Source organism: Homo sapiens, chromosome 4 (assembly GCF_000001405.40).
Source record: "Homo sapiens chromosome 4, GRCh38.p14 Primary Assembly".
NCBI lineage: Eukaryota > Metazoa > Chordata > Mammalia > Primates > Hominidae > Homo > Homo sapiens.
In genome coordinates, this window is record NC_000004.12 from 91,574,507 (window position 1) to 91,597,989 (window position 23,483).

Consider the following 23,483-nt stretch of genomic DNA (forward strand, 5'->3'; position numbering starts at 1 on the left):
CACTGAATTGGATAAAGAAAATTTGGTACATATACACCATGGAGTATACACAGATGTAAAAAAGAATGAGATTATGTCATTTGCAGCAACATGGATGCAGCTGGAGTCCATTATCCTAAGCAAATTATTGCAGGAATAGAAAACTAAATACCTCATGTTCTCACTTATAAGTAGGAGCTAAACATCATGGGCATAAAAATGACAACAATAGACATTAGGGACTACCAGGGACATTAGGGAGGGAGGAGGGGAAAGAGTTTTAAAACAAACTGTTTGTTACTATGCTCATTACGTGGATTATGGGATCATTTGAATCCCAAACCTTAGCATCACACAATATACCCATGTAACAAACCTGCACATGTACCCCGAGAATCTAAAATAAAAGTTGAAATTTATAAAAAGAATCTTGAAAAAGTAGAGCAAAGCTGGAGGCATTGCACTACTGATTTCAAATTATATTATAATGGTATAGTAATCAAGACAGTATTGTAGGGATAAAAAGAGGTACATAGGTCAATGAAAGAGAATAGAAATCCCAGAAATAAACTCATGTATATAGGGTCAACTAATCTTCAACAAAGAAAACCAAGAATACACAATGAGGAAAGGACAATCTCTTCAATAAATACTGTTGGGAAAACTGAATATCCATGTGCAAGTAAAAAGTGAAATGAGATCCATATCCATACCATATACAAAGATCAATTTAAAATGGATTAAAGATTTAAACATAAGACCTAAAACCATAAACCTCCTAAAAGAAAACCCAGGAGAAAAACTCATTGACATTGATCATGGCAATGTTTCTTGGATATGACACCAAAAACACAGGCAACAAAAGCAAAATATGATCAAGCAGAATGTCATCAAACTAAAATATCTGCACAAGAAAGGGAGCAATTAAAAAATGAAAAGATAACCCATTGAATAAGAGAAAACATTTGCAAATCATATATCTAATAAGGGAGTTCATACCCAAAATGCATATAGAACTCAAATAACTCAATAGCAAGAAAACAAATAATCTGGTTAAAATGGGTAAAGGATATGAATAGTTATTTCCAAAAGTGATCTACCAAATATCTATCAAAATTCCAAAAGTATTTTTCACAGAAAAGAAAATCCTAAAATATGTATGGAATTACAAAAGATGAAAAATAGCTAAAATAATTTTGAGGAAGTAGAACCAAGCTGGAGGCTTCAAAAGGAGGCATACAATTTGTCAAAAAGTGTATGAAAAAAATGTTCACCATCACTAATAATCAGGGAATTGCAAATTAAAACAACAGTAAAATACCTCGAACATTTTAGAATGACTATTATAAAAAAGACAAAATATAAAAAGGGTTGGAAGGGGTGTAGAGAAAAGGGAACCTTTATATATGGTTCATGAAAATATAAATTGGTTCAGCCATTATGAAAAAACTGTACGAAGCTTCTTCAAAAAATTAAAAATAAAACTACCATATAATGCAGCAATCCCACTTCTGGATATATACCCAAAGGAAATGAAATCAGTATGTCAAAGAGATATTTACACTTACTCGTTCATTGCAGCATTATTCACAATAGACAAGATATGGAAATAACCTAAATGTCCACTGATGGACGAATGGATACAGAAATGTGATCTATCTATCTATCAATCATCTATCTATCTGTCAATTATCTATGTCTAAATCAATATCTATATAATATAACTTTATTCAGCCTTTAAAAAGAAGGGTATTTTGTCATTTGTAACAATGTAGGTTTACCTGGAGGGCATTATGCTAAGTGAAGTAAGACACAGAAGACAAATACTACATAATATCATCTATATGTAAAATCTAAAAAAAGTCCAACTCATAAAAACAGAGAGTAGAATGATGGTTACCAGGGACTTGCATTTCAGGAGCAGGTAAAATGAGATGTTGGTTACAAGGACCAAACTTTCAGTTATGAGTAAATTCTGGAGACCTAATGCATACCCTAGTGACTATGTTTAATAATGTATTTTTGAAATTTGCCAAGATAGTAGGTCTTAGATACAGGTTGAGTATCCCTTATCCGAAATGTTTGGGACCAGAAGCATTTTAGAGTTGGAGTTTTTCAGATTTTGGAATGTTTGCATATACATAATGATATATTTTATGGATATGTCTTGGGAGGTGACTGAAGTCTAAACATGAAATTCATTTTTGTTTTTTATACACTTTATACACACAGGCTGAAGGTAATTTTTAAAAGTATTTTAAATAATTTTGAGATCGGGGTGAAATTTTTCACTTGTAACACCACATCAGTGCTCAAAAAGTTTTGGATTTTGAGCATTTTGGATTTTAAATTTTTGGATTAGGAATACTTAACCTATATTTTCAGCACACAAAGGTAACTATGTGAGGTGATGGATATAATCATTGATTGCATTGTGGCAATCATTTCATAGTGTGCATGTATATCAAAACATCACATTGTATACCTCATATATATTTAATTTTTGTTTTCAATTATATACTACAGTAAAGCTAAAAAAGTCATAATTTTGCTGCATGGAGCAAACCTTCCAAATAACATTGGTGCATAGCTTACTGAACACACTTTAAGAGATTTGGAAAAGTACGTTAAAATGATCTATAGAAACCTGATATTAACACAGGCCTTTATATCTTTTTTTTAAATGTGGTTTCCTCTGAGATTATCTGCTTAGCTCAAAGTTCAGACAGTTTATGAGCATCTCACTTGTGAGACTCTGGTTATTGTGTCTATGCTAAGCCACAAGTTAGACCTTGGGGGGCACAGAAAAAGATATATGATACTTGAAAGTGCTCAGAAGAAGAAGGGGAGAGAAGATCAGTGTTTCCAGAGATACCAGGAAAACTGCCAGGAAGTCTAAATCACACTAAAATTACATTTCAAAGAGAACTCCTTGCGGATTCAATAACTTTTCCAAGAAAGCAGCAAAAAATAAAATAAAAAAAAATACCTTGCAATTCACAATTCTTTCTAGCATATTATATTTTTATCACCAGGAGGAAGCAAATTAATTACAATGAATAGTATTGGATTAATGAACATCATAAAAGATGCCATATCTAACCATGTTTAAGGACCTTGAAAGGGTCTTGTAGAAACACCTTCAATGTAATCTGATGTAACACTCCGTTAAGCGATACTTGAGAATATTTGAATATTGCATTTTATTCAAAATGCTAAGAGTCCCTAAGCTCTTGAACTAGCAGATTCTGCTGCCTTTTATTTCAGGATATATTGGTTTCAATCGTTGTGTCATAAAAATTAAACTTCAAATGACTTAAGCAATAATTAGTATTTTATCTCTTATTATGTGCATACATTTTTGCTTTTTGGTAAACAAATTCATTTGTCTAAGACAAAACTATATGTTGAAAATTGTGGATGATTCTTCTGATTAAAAAAAAAAGTTCTTGGACATTTTATGTCAATGTTTAAAATGCCACTTACACTAAAGACTGCAAGTTCAGCAAGTTTGCTAGAAGTTTCCTTTAAAAGATTGAGGCTCCCCAATTTTGATGCAAATCTAATGTGTGTGAAGCACCCACCTGGGCTGCTTTGCATAGCCCCATGGGTCTTGGGAGCATTGGGAACTAATGCACACATAAAGCTTATGCTGCTTGCTTTGCCATGGTAATAAAGTTCCTTGGTCCCTACCCTGGAATATCTTGTCTTCTGTCAATATCCATAAAACTATGGTAGGCCAAAGGTAGTATATATGTATATGTGTATATAGTTCCCAATTTTTCAGTTTGTAAGCAGGGTATTATCTCAAAACTGTCACAGTTTCTAACATATACTATTCTTTTCAATAAGATTTTTGAAAAAAAATTTAAAACCATTTTATTATATATAAGAATACTCAGAATATATGTACTTAATAAATGTATCAGATTGCTGGGAAATGTGTTAAAATGCTGAATCTATGTCACAATATAGCAGATTTCTGATTCAAATTTTCTGAGGGTAAAAGTGTTCCATTTTAGCAACACCTTACATAATACTTAGACCTGTTGAAATTTGAAACCATTCATCTGAGGAAATTGATGGCTAGAATGCTTCTTAGGTTATAACATAAATTTAATTTTTTAAAATGAGTCAAGTGAATGATAGAATAGCTTTTCTTTTCTGAGAAACACTGCACGCTGATGGTTAAAATGTGCTTAATACACTTTGGAATATTATTTCTCCCAGTTTTGGAAATATTTTTTATTTCTTCATATTTTCTGAGGAATATCTTTTTCCCATTGTATTAACAATATTGATTATTCTGCAGCTGGCAGTAGAATGTGGTTCAGGTGTTTGTTATTAGGTTGATATGCAAATGAGTTATGTTTACAGAAGTACCCACTAGTGGTGATAGAATATACATATATGTGTGTATGTCTATTTGTCTATTCATCCATCCATATCTGCTTGATTTGAATAATACACATCAGAGAAATCACAAATACCTCATAGTTAAAATCTGAGTTATGAAGATATGGCTAAAATGTTTCCTGCAGCCCGGTTAGCTGCCTTAATACACACCATCCTTGCATCGTCCTTTATTTTCCTGATCTTTTCTTCCTTGCATCATCCTTTACTATTATTATTATATTATTATTATTATTATTGTTTTTAAACCTTTCTTTCTGAGCACATGAGGATGGATAGCTTTCTATTAGGGTTTTGGAATACATATTTTTGTTTGTTTATCATTTATTTCCTTTTTAAAATTTTATTTCACATTCAGGGGGTACATGTGCATGTTTGTTGTATGGACCAATTCCATAATGGTGGGGATAGGACTCCTAGTGTACCCATCACCCAAATAGTGAACATTGTACCCAATTGGTCATTTTTCAATCCCCCCTCCCCTCCCACTCAGTACATATTCGAAAAGAAGAATGACTCTCTCCCTTAGTTAACTCACCATAGGAAATGGCATCTATGTGATGAAAACATTACCAATAGCAAAATTTAACTGCAACATTGTGAATAAATGTTAATTTTTATATAAATGTTTCCATGAGAAAGGGTCTCTCAGAGAATAAGCTAGAATTGACAAAGTGGCTGATGGAAAGAAAGGGTGAGTAAAACTATTCTGTGGTATAAGGCTAGCCATTACATCAAGAGCAGGTAAATAATATTCATTTTCCTAAACCCTAAATAGCCTTACTGAATGAAAGAAAAATCAAAATACCTTTTCTGCAATGACTAATACCACATGTGCAAAGATGAAGGAATGTAGCATGAATAGGGGATTAACCATGGCAAGTGAATACCATGGTCATGAAAAGCCGAACTCCAAAAGCAGTCTTTACTTTTCCTTTGTAAATTATAACACAAAATAACAAATTTTAACACATAATAAATGGCAAGAATAAATATCTATGTTCCTGAAAAGTCCTCATTTTAATGAAGGAATGACCCTAGCTCTAAAGTAGCGTGATGCATTCCAAGCTTCATGTGACACAATCATGAGGGATAAATGTAATAACTTTGGCCAAATTTGCTGGATGTATTTGCACATTGGGAATAATGGAAAAAGCTTCTTATTGCAGGAAGACAGTTACCAGCTTAAGGATAGAAATGATTTACTGCCAGTTACTGCAGAGCAAGCTGAAGAAAAATTCAATAATATTCTTTATAATGCAGCATATTCAATCTTTCAGAATTTGACATAGTTGTACTTTATTAATGACAAAATTTAACATATCCATGGAAATTTTCTTTTGGTGACATATTAGATATCCTTATTTTTGTTATAGACATCATGTCCCTGCTCACTATGTTGACATTCTTCTATACAGTAACCATCAGCCTAGTATTTCCTGTGTGCCAGGTATTGTGCTAAGCACATTCCATACAGTAGCTCATTTGATTCTTTAATCTTTCTTTTCTAACAATAATTTTTTTTTGGCTTACACTTTTATATATGTGGAAATGGGCCTAAGGAAAGCCAGATGTTGGAGTGTGATGAGAGATGATATGGTTAGAAAATTGACCTGTAATATACCCAGACTCATTGTAGAAACTCAGAATTAGTCTGAAATGTTTTGCATCAATTGATGGTACCTGGTGAACAGGCAGGCATTTAGCCTGATCCTTCAAAATTGTGAATTAAGGGACCATTTTAAAACCCCTGTGATGATGGCAAAGCTGAGATTCTAATGAAGCTGATATTCTAGACCCTCATTTAGGGGACTTGGGGTCTGGGAAATCTGCAACTCTGGTAGAATACAGTGTTGTTTCTCACTTTAAACAATTGCCTCCTTGACAATTTGGCTTTCATGTCCTTGCCATTACAGATGCTTCATTTTTATTTTTTCAGATCTTTTCATCATTCACATAATCATTCTTTTTTGACAACCATACATCTTCATTTTACAGATGAGGAAAATAAAGATCAAAGATGTTAAAGAATTTAGCCAAAATTATATAACCTTTAAGTGACTAAGATAGGATACAAACCAAAAACTATCTGTCTCGGAGCACAAGTTCTTAACTATTATGCTTCACTACCTAAAATTATTTTTAGCTAGAGGCAGACCTTCCACAGATAAGGACTTCACCAACAGACCTCCTGGACAATTGTATAAAAAGAAAATAGAAAGTTGCTATTTAAACACATCTAACCACATAATTATATAGAAGTTAATTAGTAAGTAGAGAGTAAAAGGAAACATAAAATGGCTAGTCCTTCTAATTTTTGTTCCTTTTAAGTCTATTTCTTCACCAGCGATATTAGATAAGCAAGCACCAGTTGCTGGCCTCTTCTCATAGCAGTGTTTTATTTCATATACACGTTTTTCTTGCTCAGTGTTTTTGGTATAGCAAATTTTGCCAGAAGGGCAGCATTAGTTGATCAATAGGAGCAGATTCAGGTTGTTGGGGAAAAAAATTGTAGTCATGCTTCAGGTGCAGCCCAAAATCAATAAGAAAGAGTGCTTCTTAACAGAGTGAAATGAAGAACAATTACTTACTGCAGCTAAATGACATCCTGTGTGGGATCATTGTCTATACTGGAGGCTGATAGGCACCAAACTGAGGGGCTGCAGGATAAGCAGCTGACAGGGTTACAAATGGAGTATTCCAAATGATGATTTAACCTGAATTGTGAATTAAATCTCTAGTTATGTACACTGTCAGAGTCAGGAAAATGTTTCATTCTTAAGCTCTTGAGTAAATTCAAAAATAAGTATTAGCAGGACTTATAGTTTTAATTTACTGCAGAGTTTCTCAACATTAGCACTATTGACATATTGGACTGGATAAATCTTTGTTGTGAGGGCCTACCTTATGCAGAGCAGAATTTCTGACTTCCACCTCCTAAATACTAATAGTCCACCCCCCTCATTAATAACATTAAAAAATGTTCCCTAAGAGGCAACTTTGCCCTAGTTGAGAACCACTGATTTACCGTATTAATTATTTTTACTTGATTCATAACATGCTCATACATTATTTCTTTCTTGTTACGATTCTTGGATAGATGGAAATAAATGTTTATGTATATGCACCTCAAGGGCAAAAGTAAGTTTTGTCATGAATAGAATCTAATTTGAAAGTAAACCTCAAAATATTCAGGATCTCTTTCTACTTGTATTATTGTATTTGAGTAGATGTATTTGTTTCATTTGAATACTGCATGGCAGTTATTGGAGGTCTTGCTATTTTTTGAAAATGATTGCTACATGTAGGCAAGAAGAAGTTTGTGCAGAAACCACTTTCTATAAGGAACAGGCAGAAGATAACTGTACCTGACCTACCATTCTGGACATTCAAATCTTGTCTGAACTGTTAGTTAAGATTCTGTGAGTCCAGACCTCTATATAAAACAATTTCTGAAGGAAATCTTGTAATGCAGGATTTATACACAATTAAAATGATTTTTTGCCTGATTGAAATGACACTTGAAGTATACAGTCTTTCACAGCTCTATATTAATCACTCTAGCTACCCACATTTGGGATTTACTATTGCTCAAATTTGTATAATAAACTCAAGGAGATATGTCCTTTGATCGATGTGCATCATGTAGTCCGATTATGGAATGCTACCTCTTTTGTGTGTAGGAGTCAGATTTAACTATTATCCACTAGGGATAGGTCATATTGACTATCTATTTAGGTTGGTGCAAAAGTAATTGTGGTTTTTTCATTACTTTTCATGGCAAAAATGCAGTTACTTTTGCACCAACCTAATATCTATCTTTTATCTGTCTATCAATCAATCAATCTATCATCTCTGATGGGATTATTTACCTTAGGGAAACATTCATCTTACAGTATACTGCTTGTCTTAGGAACATATGACATGCATGTTATAATTCAAGAATTCTGAGCCCAACTGCAAAACTATTGAGTCACTTCTATGGTCCCATAAATATTTATTTCAACTGATCATAAGGTAATTTTTACTTATGAGAAAATTTTAGAACTAATTTCTTAGAGCTAAAGATAGCAAACTGAATGCTCCAGAATGACTAATCCCATACTGTATATCGTTGTATAGTCCACTTAAGCCTAAACTATATATGAAAGCCATGACTAACATACAGTTGGAGCCACTGATAAATTTCTCACTTTTATTGAGGAATTTGTAAATATTTGGAGTCAAGTGTGGCTATGAGAATAAATCCTTTTTAATGTACTCTTTTGTAACACAATCTCTGATTATATTTATTGTGTTCTTATATCCCTAGCACACATTTTTTCTATTTGAACATATTCAAATAGAAAGTTTTTATATAGCAACTTTAAATCAATTTAATAAAATAATCAGTATTTCTCTATAATATGCTATGCAAAAAAAATTGTTCCTAAGTATGTATTATCTAGAAATAGCTTCATTCTTTTTTAAATTCTTCTTGTCCAGCATTTATAAATTGCATCTATCTCCTTATGGTTCTGTGTGAATTATATCTGAGCTGTCTTCATTCAAGGGTTGTTTCCTTCCACTCCTGAGTAGATGGTGCTAATTATGATATGTTCTGAGTTAAAACAAGGTGTACTACTCTAAGGACACACGCAGATTTTCTATAGAGTTCCTTGACATTTGAAAATAAAAGTTTAAAGCATCTTGATTATTGGGATATGCAATAATTGACTTCTAAGCTTCTTGCTTGAATAGACTAGTGGAGTTTTGGTTTTTCATGATGTCTTGCCTTCTTCTTGTGCATTACACTAAGTAGTACAAATATTATGCATGTTTTTATATAAGAACTATACAAAGTTTTAAACAATTATTTTGATAGATCAGATGTCTCCTGTGAGATAGAAGAGATGGAAAAAGTGTCATATGCCCTCTGCTTTAAAGGATGGCTGCAACTTTATACAGCTCTTTAGATTTTAGGGATGAACTTGAAAAGGACATATTGTTGGCCAGATGAAGTGAGGACTAAGGAGGATTCTACAAAATGATGTTTTGAAACATTCTGGATACTAGAATGCTGTACAGCTTTGTTTGTTTCCTTACAAAATGTTCACAGCATGCTTTGTTAGCAATCTGCATTCTTTTAAAATTGTCTGAGATATTATATAGTAAATTAAAATTATTTTTAAAAAGTAGGTACTGGGAAAGCTGGTGACCTCTTTATTCATTTTTTGTTCAACAGATACAAGTTCAACAAATAACTACTAAATGCCAGAACCAGAGCTACCATGATCTGCTTTCACCTACGTAGTTGCATTTGAGGGTCTGGAGGCATAATTCTCTATCACTCATCCCCATGCCCAGTCAGTAGATTCTCAGTTTTCAGAGAAAAAATAAATTTCAAGAGAAAATATTTGAGGCTCTTTGGACTAGATGTATTAGATTGTCTATGAAGAGGCATGGTTTCTCAGACTCATTTGGATGGATACAGGAAAATCATTCTCACTGAGGTAGTATAAATTGTTTTTGGAGGCATTTATTTCATATTGGTGAGACCCTGAGCATAGGATCCAGTAAAAAACACCCTGATGCTGTGCAGTAGATCACTTTTATATCAATAGACTTTTCTAAATAAAAATATCCTAGGGAAAATTTAGAAACAGTATTAACCTCAAAATGTTTCATCATTTGTTCATATTTTAGGGAAATACTAGTAAAAGTTTTGTTTTACATAAATCCTGTGAAAAAAATTAAATACATTTTGATTGGTCCTAAAGTATGTTAATTATAAATTCAACATGTTAATATTTTTACTATATAAAATTAAAATTGATTTGAAGTCTATATATTTTTCTTCAGGTTTTATTTGTATTTTAACTATATAAACATTGTTATTAAAAATTATTGTTTTGCATTTTTTTCAGAGCCTTAAAAATTTTCTTCTTGCCTATTATGTGAGACATCTGAATTACTATAATATGGAACTTTAATTATAACCACTGTTTGTGACACATGTCTTCCTTCATTCTTAACAAGTGTATGCATTCTGAATTGCCTTTTATTATGTATTTTTACCTTGAACTGATTAATTCCCAATTATGTAACCTTTCTAAAATACTGCTTTGTCATGTCACTTACCTCATCATAAACCTTTAATTGACCTTCATTTGATTTAAAATTTCACTCTTTAAATTAGCAGCCAAAAACTTAAACAATGTAGACAACTTACATACACAAAATTTTCTTGATCCATTTATTTCTATGTAAACATCCTACTTCACCTTAGCAAGTAAGTTTAATACTAGTAGTTCTCAGAATAGGTCTCATAAATATATACTTACTCCTTATTCGTGATGCCCAGGATGCCTTTCTGACTTTTCAGTAATCCAAGATATAGTCACTCTGAAGGATTTAGTTGAGATAGCCCCATATATGATCCTTCTCTCTTTTCCCCATTTCACTCAATCCCTTCCTTTTTTCACTCATCTTCAACAAATGTTTGTCAAACACTTACTTTATATCAGAAACTAAGGTAAATGCTGGGAGAAAAATTTGACACAATTCTTGCTTTCACAGAGCACACTGTCTAAATTAGTGATAGGCATTAAACAAATAAATGCATTATATGTATGTATATACATACATATGTATAGGACAATTGCTATAAAGAGAATGTATAGGTTGTGTTTGCATTTGGAAGGTTTAAAATAGTATAATTTGAATTAAATTCTGGGTTGTGAAAAGGCTTAAAATTTTCTAGGGACTGAGTTACCTGTCAGGTAAAAATGAAGGGAAGAACATTCCAGATAGAGGCTAAAAGCGTAAAGGACCTAAAAGACCTAAGGAAGGAGAAAGTTTTTCATGTTTAAGAAACTCAAAGATGGCTAATGTTGCTAGAAACCCAATGATTAAAGAAAAAATTGTCCTAGGAAGGAATTAAAGAGGGAGCTAGATCATTCAGAGTGATGTAGGCCATTACAAGAATATTTATCTTCTTGAAATTCAGTAGGAAGGTATTGAAAGAAAATAAGAAGGTCAATGGCATGATTAAATTTGCATTAAAAAATTATCCCTCTTTTGTGGCATATGTGTGAAGGCACAAAATAGTGGATAAAGTAGTACAAGATAATGGTGTTGAACTAGAGGGATGGAGGTGGAGAGTAGTGGGCAGAATATAAATAGAATCGCTGTCAACTAGTGATAGAGTGTAGAGGTAGAAGGAGAATGCATCAACTACAACTTCAGAGTTTCTTTGTGGTCTCCACTCATTTATTTGTTCAACAAATGTTACTGAAGTATTAAGATGAAAACCAGACATGATGCAATTATTATGAGTTTAGTTAGAAAAAAATAAGATTGAGATACCAGTAAAAAAGTCATGGAGGTAGATACACGAATGAAAATTAAAAGAAGTTTAGATTAAAGCAAATAAGTTAAGAGTTGTTCACATGAAGTTGGTATGTTTAAAGTTATGTGAATGGATGAGATTTCCTTAGGAGAGTGAAATGAATCTGGACCATGCCATCAAGACCCAAGCGTTTAGTTGGAAAAGTGCCCAGCAAAGGATATTGAGTAGTTGTGACCAGAGAAACAGGAGAGGCACCAGGAGCGTGAAATGTCACAAATACCAACTGATAATGGAATTCAAAATGAAAGTGCTGAACTCCATTAAAATGCCTCTTAATGTGTAAAGAAAATGTATAAACTGACAAGTATCCATTTTACTTGACAACTTAGAGATTTTCAAGAGCAAAAGCCAAATTGCAGTGGGATGATGAACAAGGTAGGGGTGATGGTGAGAAACTGAAGCAACCAAAGAAGGCAATTCTTTTAAAAGCTCTGTTTCATGCTTAGAAATTATGTTGTACCACACATTTTTCACTAAATCTGGTCATGACTTAAGATACGATATTGTTGTTTTAGTGGCTTCATTTTGCTCTTTTGATTTTTATTTATAGTAGTCTAGTTCCTTAAGTAAAAGTAAGTTCTTGGGGGTAATATTGCATACTTAGTTTATTTGAATCACTCATTGTATTTATATTTTGTGGGTATTCCATAATAATGAATAGATATGAATGAATGAAATAATAAATAGTGAAGAAAGAACCACAGAGAATGAAAAATATTAATAAACTTAGCATGGGAGATGCAATCTCTTTTATTAGGACTAGTTTTAGATTTTGACACTCCTCAGATACCTCTTCTCTCACAGTTATTTGTGGGAAATTGCCCAGTATACTCAACATAACACACAATCTATAGAGTTGATTTCTTAGAGAATTCATTTGGTACCTATGTTAGTATCTGCCAATTTGTCTTGATGTTAGAGAGATAACTACCACCTCTGTGACCATCATTTGGATTCACCTTAGCCTTATAATTCCAACATCAGGACCTTTCAACATAGTCTCTGTTGAAAATACAGAAGACATCACCTGTGTAGACAGGGAAGACTTATTCCTTCTGCTTTTAGAAAACTTCAATCTGGGGAATCCAGATCTATCCTAAGCCAATATCTTATTACCATGTCTTTCCTTTTAACTGCAGCCTATTGTAGCACAGCATACCTAGCAAAGATCAGACATATATATGTTGACTTTATCATCAAATGCTTACTTCTTGATCTTCATTTCTCAGTAACACAGCACAAAATATCTTCCACATTCTACTCTAAGAATTTTTCTATTTATCCATCCTTTTTATTCCGTAAACGTAACAGATATAATTTCTGCATATCCATCGTTCATGAGATTTGCCGAAATATAACAAAATGGCTGGCATGTACAATTAAATATTCCAGCAAAAATCTTTTGGATGTTGTTTTTCTTACATCGAATGCAGATCTTGTGTCTATGCATGAAAATGAAAGGTGATAGGTTCTGTATGGAAATATTAAACACTGCTTTAGAAAATCTTGAATTGGTTGTTGCCTTTACCATTAACAATCTTTATAATCTAAGGCAAGTCACACAGTCTCTCTAGTCAGTTTCCTTATAAAATCAAGGTATTAAAATACATTAACTTTAAAGCCTCTCTTGAATCTTGAATTAATATTATATCAAAAAATAAAAATATTTATATTTTCAGTGAGCAAGAAGTTAAGATATTAATAAAATGAAAATAATTGACAATAAAATGAAAATAATTGACAATTATTTTAGATCTTTGCAATTGTAAGCTTCATCTGACTCTCATTATATTTTGTGCTTTGTTGATTTTTTTTCTATTTAAAAATCAATTTTAGATCTTTTTAAGGATGACTAACTTTGAAGCTGGTGGCCCATCTGTTTTCTCTTTGTTAGCAGACTTTTTGCGACTACTCTGAGTTTGCAAAGAAAATGATTTGCTTTGATAAAGCAGCTTTTCAAAAAGAAAAAAAATAGCCTTAGATTTTTTTTTCACTCTATAGTAAGTGTTTCTAACACTCATAAACTCATCCTAAGTAGGAAAAAAGTGGTTGGCTATTTGAAAAATTGCTATTATTAAATAAGCCTCTTATCTCTAAGGCTCAACTCTTTATACAGCAAAAGAATGTATTTTTGAAATTCTATGCTTCTTTAAAAATTGGTTCTAACTTGTATGTAATGATATTCTGACCATAACTTTTTGTACTATAATTAATTCCCTGCTGTGTCTTATTCCTTATTTATACTATGTGAAAGAATTTCAAAAAATTAGGTGGATATTACTTCAATTCCCAGCTATTCTGTATGTTTATATTTCTATATATGTTAGCAGTATTCTTTTCTATATATGTTAGCAGTATTCTTTTGATGTTTTAAATTCTTTGAAGGACGTTCAAGTAGTATTATGTTCACCAAACCATCGTGCAGAAAATGTAGGTTCTTATTATTTGTCACATCATTGCCTTGTGTATGTCCCCTGAATTTCCTTAAATGACATTTGTTCAACCCAGAATTGTGCATGTTGCTGAAGGAAAACATAACTTATGTCAATTATTAAATCAATTATTAGTAAGAGCCTCAGCTTTCCATGTATAAAAATGCCTTTGAAGTAAGGCATCCAAAACTAATCTATCTTAATGTACATTTACAAGAATAAATTGGGATAGTTTGTATGAAAGCCATTTATAATATTTTACAGTATATGACAGATGGAATTCTGAAATTACTTGTATTGTTTGTACTATCCTCCAAAATTTGCTATGTATTTAGTAATATATTGACTTTATCAGTGGGTCAAGCTTATTCCTAAAAGTAGTTTGCATTACATTATACTGATATAAAACAACACATTGATATTATGAAATTACTGTATTTTTATTTCACTTCCTTGCTCATATTATCTCTTAGATTAGGTAAATACGTTACTTTTAGAAGTTTCCAAGGAGAGCATACAGAGTAAAATTACTTGTAAGATAGAATCATTTAAGCAAGAAATTTAGGGCTCACATTATTTAATCATGCTAATAAGGACTAAAAAAGGATGAAAAATAAGTTTGATTCTTAATTTAATGATATACAATATATTTGTTTATGCATTTATTGGACTCCAGAATTTCTACCACATAAAGCCACAGCGATTGGCTATAAAGTCTATGAATTATTCACACGAGACATTATGTGAATCTAAAGATTTTTTTAAGATTATTAAATACTATTCTCATTCAAGAAGCATTTTATTACATAATATGTGCTAGGTGTTGGGCAGCAGGGTGTCTAGACAAGAGGCTCTTTTTTTTTTTTTTATGTTTTGCTATACTAAGCCACTACAATTGTTCACTTTTCTGCATTCCTATGCAAATACAGAAAATTATTCTCCACTCCTTTCCCTCTAGCATATAAATTTAACTTAAATCTTTAACTCATTCTTTTATTTAGAAATCACATATTTCTGGAATACCAGTTGTGCAGAATTATATTTTCATAGATGTCTTCTGAATTGAGTCCTTAATCACACTCCTGTTATTGCTTTTATAAGCAATAATTGTCTGAAATTCTCATTTAAATCACCTTTTAACTAAGGAGAATTACTGACACAGAGTGGGTGATCACACATATACACACACACACACTCTCTCACACATACATTAGTGTTAAAGACAACTTACTGTTCTACAAGATTTGGTTCTGCCTAGAGTTCATTTACTCTAATTATAAACAGAACAGTCAAAACATATGCCTAGTGGCTTCTGGGAAAACTGTTGTATGTTTTCACTTGTCCTTTGAAGAGAGAGAGGTGCTGTGATTTTACTCTCTTGGGAGCTCTGCTGGCCTTATTAGCATTCACCTTGCTTATCTCATGCATGTCTTCTAACCCTGTTTGTGTCCTAAATGCCCACCAGTAGAATTTAGTATACCCTAAAGAATTTAGAAGCGAGGTTGAACCAGAAGAAGTAGTTTAACTCTGGACAATGTGCACCATTCCACACCTCTTGGTAATTTGTGCAATCTGAAAAAAAATCAGGTCCTGTCTGCCAGAACCTTTTGATGTTTCTTTTCGGTTATTACATCAACTTATTACAGGGCTTCCTGCTTGCAAAGCAGTAACTACTTCTTTACACAGTCTCTCTGTAGTAGAGTGTTTCCTAGACCTTTAACAGAACTCTTTATCACTGAAAACAGATTCCACGTCTAAGGCTACAAACAGACACAGCAATGGTGCCAAAACCTTTTGAAGAGAACTTCTATTTCTCAGTGATGACAGGAAAAGGGCAGCCTGTTATTTTTAAATTTGGTTTGAGTCTACATTGGCCCTTTAATGATTGTACTTGAGAAAGACGCACATTTTAGGAGTGCCTGTTTACTTTACATCAACACATTGTGTCGTGATATATCAAAAGGAGCATTTACTTTTTAAGTAGTTTTTAAATGCTTTCATTGTGTATTACTACGTTGGATTGATTTAGTAAAGGAGATGATATTTTTTAAAATTAATAATTATAAGGGCCCAGAAGAATGCCTGGTATATAATAAGGATTATATGTGTTTGCAAACTAAGTAACATAAAAATTAATTATAAAGGCTTAATTTCACTCTCATAATGGCTATAAATGATAAAAGGATAGAAATGTATGTATAATGGTTTTCTTTCTTGATATGTATATCACTGATCATTTTTATCTGTTTAATTTAAGGAAGCATTGTAGTTTAGGGCAGTGGTTCTCAACTGGGGGCAATTTTGCTGCCATCCCCCACCCCTTGGGGACATTTGGCAATGTATGGAGACATTTTTAGTTGTCACAACTGGGTGACAGAGAGGTACCCTGGCTTCTGTAGGTACAGGACAAGGATGCTACTAACATCCTGCAATGTACATGATGGTCCCAAAAACAAGGCAATAAGTAATACATACTTAAACATACAGTACATAAAATGAAAATGCTTATTTACATTTAAGATTTATTTATAAATTTCAATATTTTATTCAGTGAGTAATAATATTCATACGTGCTTTTATTCAAAGCACTTTTCTTACATGTAATTATATTTACCAGTATAGGGACAATGGCTTCTTGATATCACAGCATTGCATGTTTCTATGTTGATGTATTTGTAATTAATTAAATTAATATATGTATTATAGAGTGTATTCTGTCATTTGTTTTGTTTATAATGCCTCAGCTTATACATTCATCATTTATTTTCTGAAATAATAAAGTGATCTACTCAATCAGTCTCCAAGCAACTAGACCAGTGTCAAATGGGTCAGTCAGTTGCTGAGTTTTTATTCTAAGGAATATCTTGCTACTACTACTAAATTACCAAAATTTTTTATTTTTATAAATTAGATAATATTATGACCACTGTCATTTGTATTTCAGAAGTTAAAATATTTACATAAATAGAAGATAAAGGAGTTGAGTGAAACATATTTTAATGCGAGTATTTTTATAGCTCTGGATTTTACCCAAAGATGTATGTACCCACCATTTATGTTTACACAATGGGGCCGGGCAGCAGTTAAAAATTGCAGCCATACAATATCTCCCTTTCAATTCATTTTCTACAGTATTGACAAAATACACTGAAATTGATTTTTTTTCATTTGCTTTGATATCTAATGCTGTAGATATAATGTCATATTGCTTTGGTGGTTTTGAAAGATCTGTTAAATAAGCCATTTTAATAAGGAAAGTCCAGTAGATTATTTTCCAGACTGTATAAATATTAATGGAGTTCTCAGTAAATGCCAGGTACTGGTAGGACATGTGTATTCAGCATTGAACAAGACAGGCAGAGTCCCTACCCTTATGCAACTTACATTCTATTTGACCTGGTGTGTTAGTCCACTCTCACATTGCTAATGAAGACATACTTGACTTAGAAAACTTACTTACAATCACGGTGGAAGGGGAAGCAAATACGTCCTTCTTCATATGATGGCAGGAAGAATTGCTGAGCAAAGGGGAGAAACCTCTTATAAAACTATCTGATCTCGTGAGAACTCATTCACTGCCATGAGAATAGCAGCATGGGGGTAACTGCCAGAGTCTCTCCCATGACATGTGGGGATTACGGGAACTACAACTCAAGATGAGATTTGGCTGGGGACACAGACAAACCATATCACCTGGGTACTGTAATGGGCAGAGGTAAATGTGTCTATTCTTGGAAATAAAATATATGGTATTCTCATTGTGTATCTTAACCTGCAGGTCTCATTAATAGGAAACCATGAACTTATTCAGAAGACACATTTCTCAGTGTGAATTATCCATACAAAAGTTACTACTTAGCTTCTACTACAAGAACTGTAACCAAGAATAATTCTGATTCACTTTAACATAATTTAATATTTATCTACTCTTTCAATTGAATTCACATTATAATGTTGATATTTTCATTAATCTTTCAAATATTTTTAAATTCTGTTTAACATTAGTTATTTTTCTAAGTATAATACCAGTTTTCCTAGATGGCTATTGGGGGATTGTTTCAAGTTTCTCTATTCCTTTAAGAACAATTCTTGTTGTAAAGCAATATTTTTTTTTTGTTAAGTGGAGAACATTTGCAGGAAAAATATATTTTAAAGTCAATGAAAATAATCATGTGCAGAGTTCTTATGTATGCAAGCAATTATAACAGAATAATTTTGCCTGATAACATTCATGGCAACTACCAATAATTTTTACAAAACAAGGAAAAGAACTTCAGAAAAAATAAAACATTATTAAACGTTCATTAATCAGTGATTGAAGTATTTCTCCCCTCCCCCATAAATTCTATCATCACATCATCCAGCCTTAACAAATTTTGGCTTTGCACATTGGCATGATTATTGTATTTCTGTTTTTCACCAAGAGACAAGTTTTTAATATAATAGAATCCCTAAATATCAGGTTTCATTTTACAATCAATGCTTTTAACCAGGTTGCAGTTGTAATGCAGTTTAAATTGCCCGTGCAATGTGTATTGTATCATAGCTTCATATTTGCCTTTCTTTAATTGAGTTATATGCAATGTTGGTGCTACATTTGTTACTAAAGAATGTTTTCTAACAGCTTACTGTACTTGATGTTATAAGAAAAATAATTTTGTATACAGAAAGCCAAGGAAAAAAACAGGGTATAATTTTAATATTAATGAAATAAATATTTTTAACTGTCTTGTTTTCAACCCCGTGCTTTTTTTTTTTTTTTTTTTTTTTTTTAGTACAGACAGGGTTTCACCATGTTGGCCAGGATGGTCTTGATCTCTTGACCTCGTGATCCGCCCACCTCGGCCTCCCAAAGTGCTGGGATTACAGGCGTGAGCCACAGCGCCCAGCCCCCATGCTTTTTTCTTAAGTAAAAACCCAATGCTTTATAAAATCTAGAGAGGGAATATACCTATGTGTGGATGACACTGAATCATTGAGAAAAATGCAAAAGGACTGTCTGTCAAATGCCAAACAAGGCAACTGAACACAAAATAAATTGCAATGAGAGGCTGGTGTGACTTACTAATGGATCACACAGGCTGAAATAAGTGAATGTGGTTTATTTGTTTTAAATCAGCATCAGGTGTTTTGTTTTTCATTTCTTAGTGGTGTATTAAATAATAATATGTTTTAAAATTAGTATTTTCTTGCATTTGATGAAATACAGGCTATATGCTATTGTAAAGAAATGAGAGGAAGACAATTAAAAGGTAACAATGAACTTATTATAATGTGCACAGTCGACTGATTAATCACTAGATTTTCCATCCTTTCATCCTCATTAGGAATTCTATGGATAGGTAATAAGCTAGCTGCATGACAACTAAATTGCGCAGAATCTGACATAATTACATGAGTTTCAGGAGGCTTAATTCTGATTTTGAGAAAGATGTGGCTAGACACATGCATTAAAATTACCTTCAGGGATCTCAAATTCTTCAGAGGTAATAAACATTGGTTAACATCATAATATGGAAATTATTTTCCTCTGGGCCAAGGCAACCAAATCCATATATATATATATGTGTGTATATATGTATATGTATATGTGTATATATACATATATGTACACACATATATATACATATATATACACATATATATACACATATATATACACACATATATACATATATACACATATATACACATATATATACATATATACATATACACACATATATACATATATATACACACATATATACATATATATACATATATATATACCCAAATCAGATCTATCTATATCTATCTATCTTAGATTCCCATCCTTCCGATCCAAATGCATATGCCAAAATGTATTTTAATATTTTGTGTTAAGAGGATGTTTCCTATGTACTTCTAAACATATTCCAAAACATGTAGCATAAAATAAACCTAGAATTTTAGAATTGGAAAGCAACTGAATGATTGTTAGAGTTTCTTCAAGATCTAAATTCTATTGTCTTACATTTTATTCATTTCATTCAGTGAGTGGACTTAGAAACTGAAGCCCAGAATAATTAATTTATTCATTCCATGTTACACAGTTCAATGGTAGCACAACTAGAGTCTTTTGGCTTCAGGTTCAGTGTTCTTTCTATTAGCTCAAATTGTCCTATAATATACTAAAGACACAATAGGGTAATTAGTGTAGTGTATGGTATGATATGCCTCCTACTTTTCCCTTTCTCTGCCTCAAACAAATACACTTTCAAGACTGAAGTCTTAATTTTTCCTGTTGCTGAGAGTGTTGGCAACTGATAGCTCTCAAGTAAATTTCTCTCCAATAATTTCTCTGCTTAAAAAAAAAAAGCAAAACCAAAAAAACCTACTCATCCAATACTATAGCCCTTCCCAGGGCCTGCCAATGTCCAATAACTGGATGATGGGATATAAGACTCCCACCGACTTGCCTGAATTGGAGACCACTATTAAGAACCATCCCAAATTCAGACCTCCCTATGTGATCAGTCGAGATAGTGTAATTGCACAGAATTTAATTTCTCACTCTGCCTGACTCTGCTTTCTTCATTCTCTATAGTTGTTGGCCTAAGAACACTCCCCAATACATTTCACAAACATCTGTCTCACAGTCTGTGTTCTGTGGAACCAAACTACAACAATAAATATAAAATTACTTGAATTTTCTAGAGAAAGTGACTTTCTTTTTAAAATAGAGATAAAAGTGTTCCAAGTGATTAGGTTCTAAAAGATGAAATAAATACCTCTCAAAGTAGTTTCAAGGTCTGTTAGTTACATTATATTGTTACTGTGATGATGATGATTATTGTTGTGATTAAGGTAACTACATTCCAGGTAATTAGGCATTTTATAATCAAGGAGGTCATTAAATATTTGTAATAATCCTTTATGAAGATATGGATATAAATATAAAACTTCATTTCTCAGATGAGGAAATTGGCAGCTTAGGAAGCTTAGGTAACTTGCCATGTTCACTAAACTAGAAAGTGTCTGACTTGAAGCTGACTTAAGGTAGCATTTGGGTCTTATATGAACAGCCCTATTTCACATGATGTATGCAGCACCTTGTCCTCAGTGTGGCCAATAAATATTTATCACAAGAATAAATGAATTCATATATATCTGACCCTACCCATATGATTAACCCCTGCACAATGCAATCTCCTATGTCCACTATGAGCTTTGGAGATAATAGTAAATATCACAGAGAACTTAAAAAAAAAAAAAAAAAAAAAAAACCAAGGGCAAAAAAACTAACATGTCAAAAACAAACTATGCTAAATAAACATAAATGGTTGATTTAAATGTGTATTTTCCTTTAAAAATTGAGAGTAAGAAGCCCCATCTTGCTTCTTTTGATAGTAGATCCACATGTGCCTTCTAAGTACCAGATACTGTACCAGAGAAGGGGTGCTGAGGCTGCCTGTGTGACTGAATTATTTGATCCTTTTCAATATGTCTTTTTAAAACTGTATATTCAATTTAATATAATATGCCAGGAGAATTAAAATGATCACATAAAGAAAACAATGAATATTCCCTCAAAGGTAATATTAAAATAGTGGAAATGAAGTCTACTCCTACCATTTCTACTTTCCTAGGCAGCATCTGTTGAAATAGAAATGAAAAAGAAATGTAACCACTGGTGTTATCATTATGGACTTATTAATGTTGCATTCATCCCCAATTTTTTCCACAATATTTCATAAGCAGCACCCATGATATGTCTAACATTTGGCCACAGATATTGAGCACAAGGTTGATTTGGGGGTTGGTTGGTAACAATTAAATAAACATATAAGTTTACAGGGATGGAGGAAAAAGAAAAGATCACATTTCTAATAGGTCCATAGCCTAGAGTATTGGGAAAGAGCCAAGAAGAAGAAAGTGAGCTAGACAAGTTCCCAAATGACGAAAATGGAATCAAAATAGTTTATTCCTTTTACTCCTAAAAAGTCTGAGGCATCTCTTGTGAGTCTTACAATGTTTCCTTTCTACACCAAATTACCAACCTACCTATGTCTACTCCAAATCTAAGGAAAAGTTAAAACAGCATATTAGAATTCACAGAGGGGGGTCTGCTGTAAGTAGCTTATCACAAAAATATAAATAAGTAAAGATGACATCACAAACATCAAGACAATAAAAAGGAAAGATGACATCACAGACATCAAGACAATAAAAAGGAAAGGCCTGAGTAGCAAAATCCTTCCCTCTGAAATCACTGAGTTTAAGGACGCCTAGTGGGTCTTTGTTTTGTAGAAAAGAAAAGGAGGGAGACTTATTTCAATAATAATCATTTTGAGGCATCAGCTCATATTACAATGTTTTTCTGCACGTAATTAATTTTAGAAAAATGTGATGAAGTTTTGAAAAATTCCTATGGAAATACTCGAGGAAGAAGGAACTGGTAGATAATCAAGCAGACGGCCTGTCCTACACTAGCTTAGGATAAAATCAAACTCTGTGCTACAATTTTCCAGTCTGTATAACGGGAATAAAAGAAACTACCTCAAAAGACTCTTGTGAAGAGTGAATATATGAGAGCAATAGCAGAGTGTTGGAAATACACACCCAATAAATATTATGTATTATCTCAAACTTTATTCAGCAAATATTTATTAAATGGTTAATATGTGCCAGGCAATTGTGTCAGGAAGAAAGAGTAGAAATGAAGAGAAATGGATGACTTGAGATTATATTTTGTAAATAGCAAGGACCTGATTTTAAGGTGTATGAAGAAAAGAGAAAAGAATAATTTTCAGGTGTTGGCCTGAATGTGGTGCCATTTACTGAGAAGGGAAATTCTTGGGGAAGAATGAGTTTCACAGTTGAGAATCAAGTTTTATTTTGTTTGGTTTGATATTATGCCAAATTAGTAATATTAATATAAGTAATATTAATCAAACAAAAAGTGATGATGGCTAAATAAGCAAATGAGCCTGCAGCTATCTATAGTGCTCTTCTCTCTTCTCCCTTGTCTGTTTCTCTTCATTTTTATCCTCTTTCTTTGTAGCAACAATAAATCCTTCATTTTTTGCATGCAGAACAATTAAGCCAGCCAGTCTCAGTTTTTACCTCAATGTGTTTTTCTACACAAACATAGTGCTCTCTTCAGGAGGAATATGGGTGCTAGCTTGTAATCTTTGCTTCTTCACAGCATGATTCAATGAGCTATGCCTTGTTATTACTAGAGTATACAATTCTTATGAGCAAGAAGATGGTATGTACTTGTGGACCTGATTTTGATTAATAAATTG

The 23,483-nt window shown here is 32.6% G+C and overlaps 1 protein-coding gene across 8 annotated transcripts in view; it reads left to right on the forward strand.

Annotated features, from left to right (window-relative positions):
* Positions 1–23,483, forward strand: part of CCSER1 (coiled-coil serine rich protein 1) — a 1,477,902-nt gene that overhangs the window by 1,447,113 nt on the left and 7,306 nt on the right. The window lies entirely within an intron of this gene.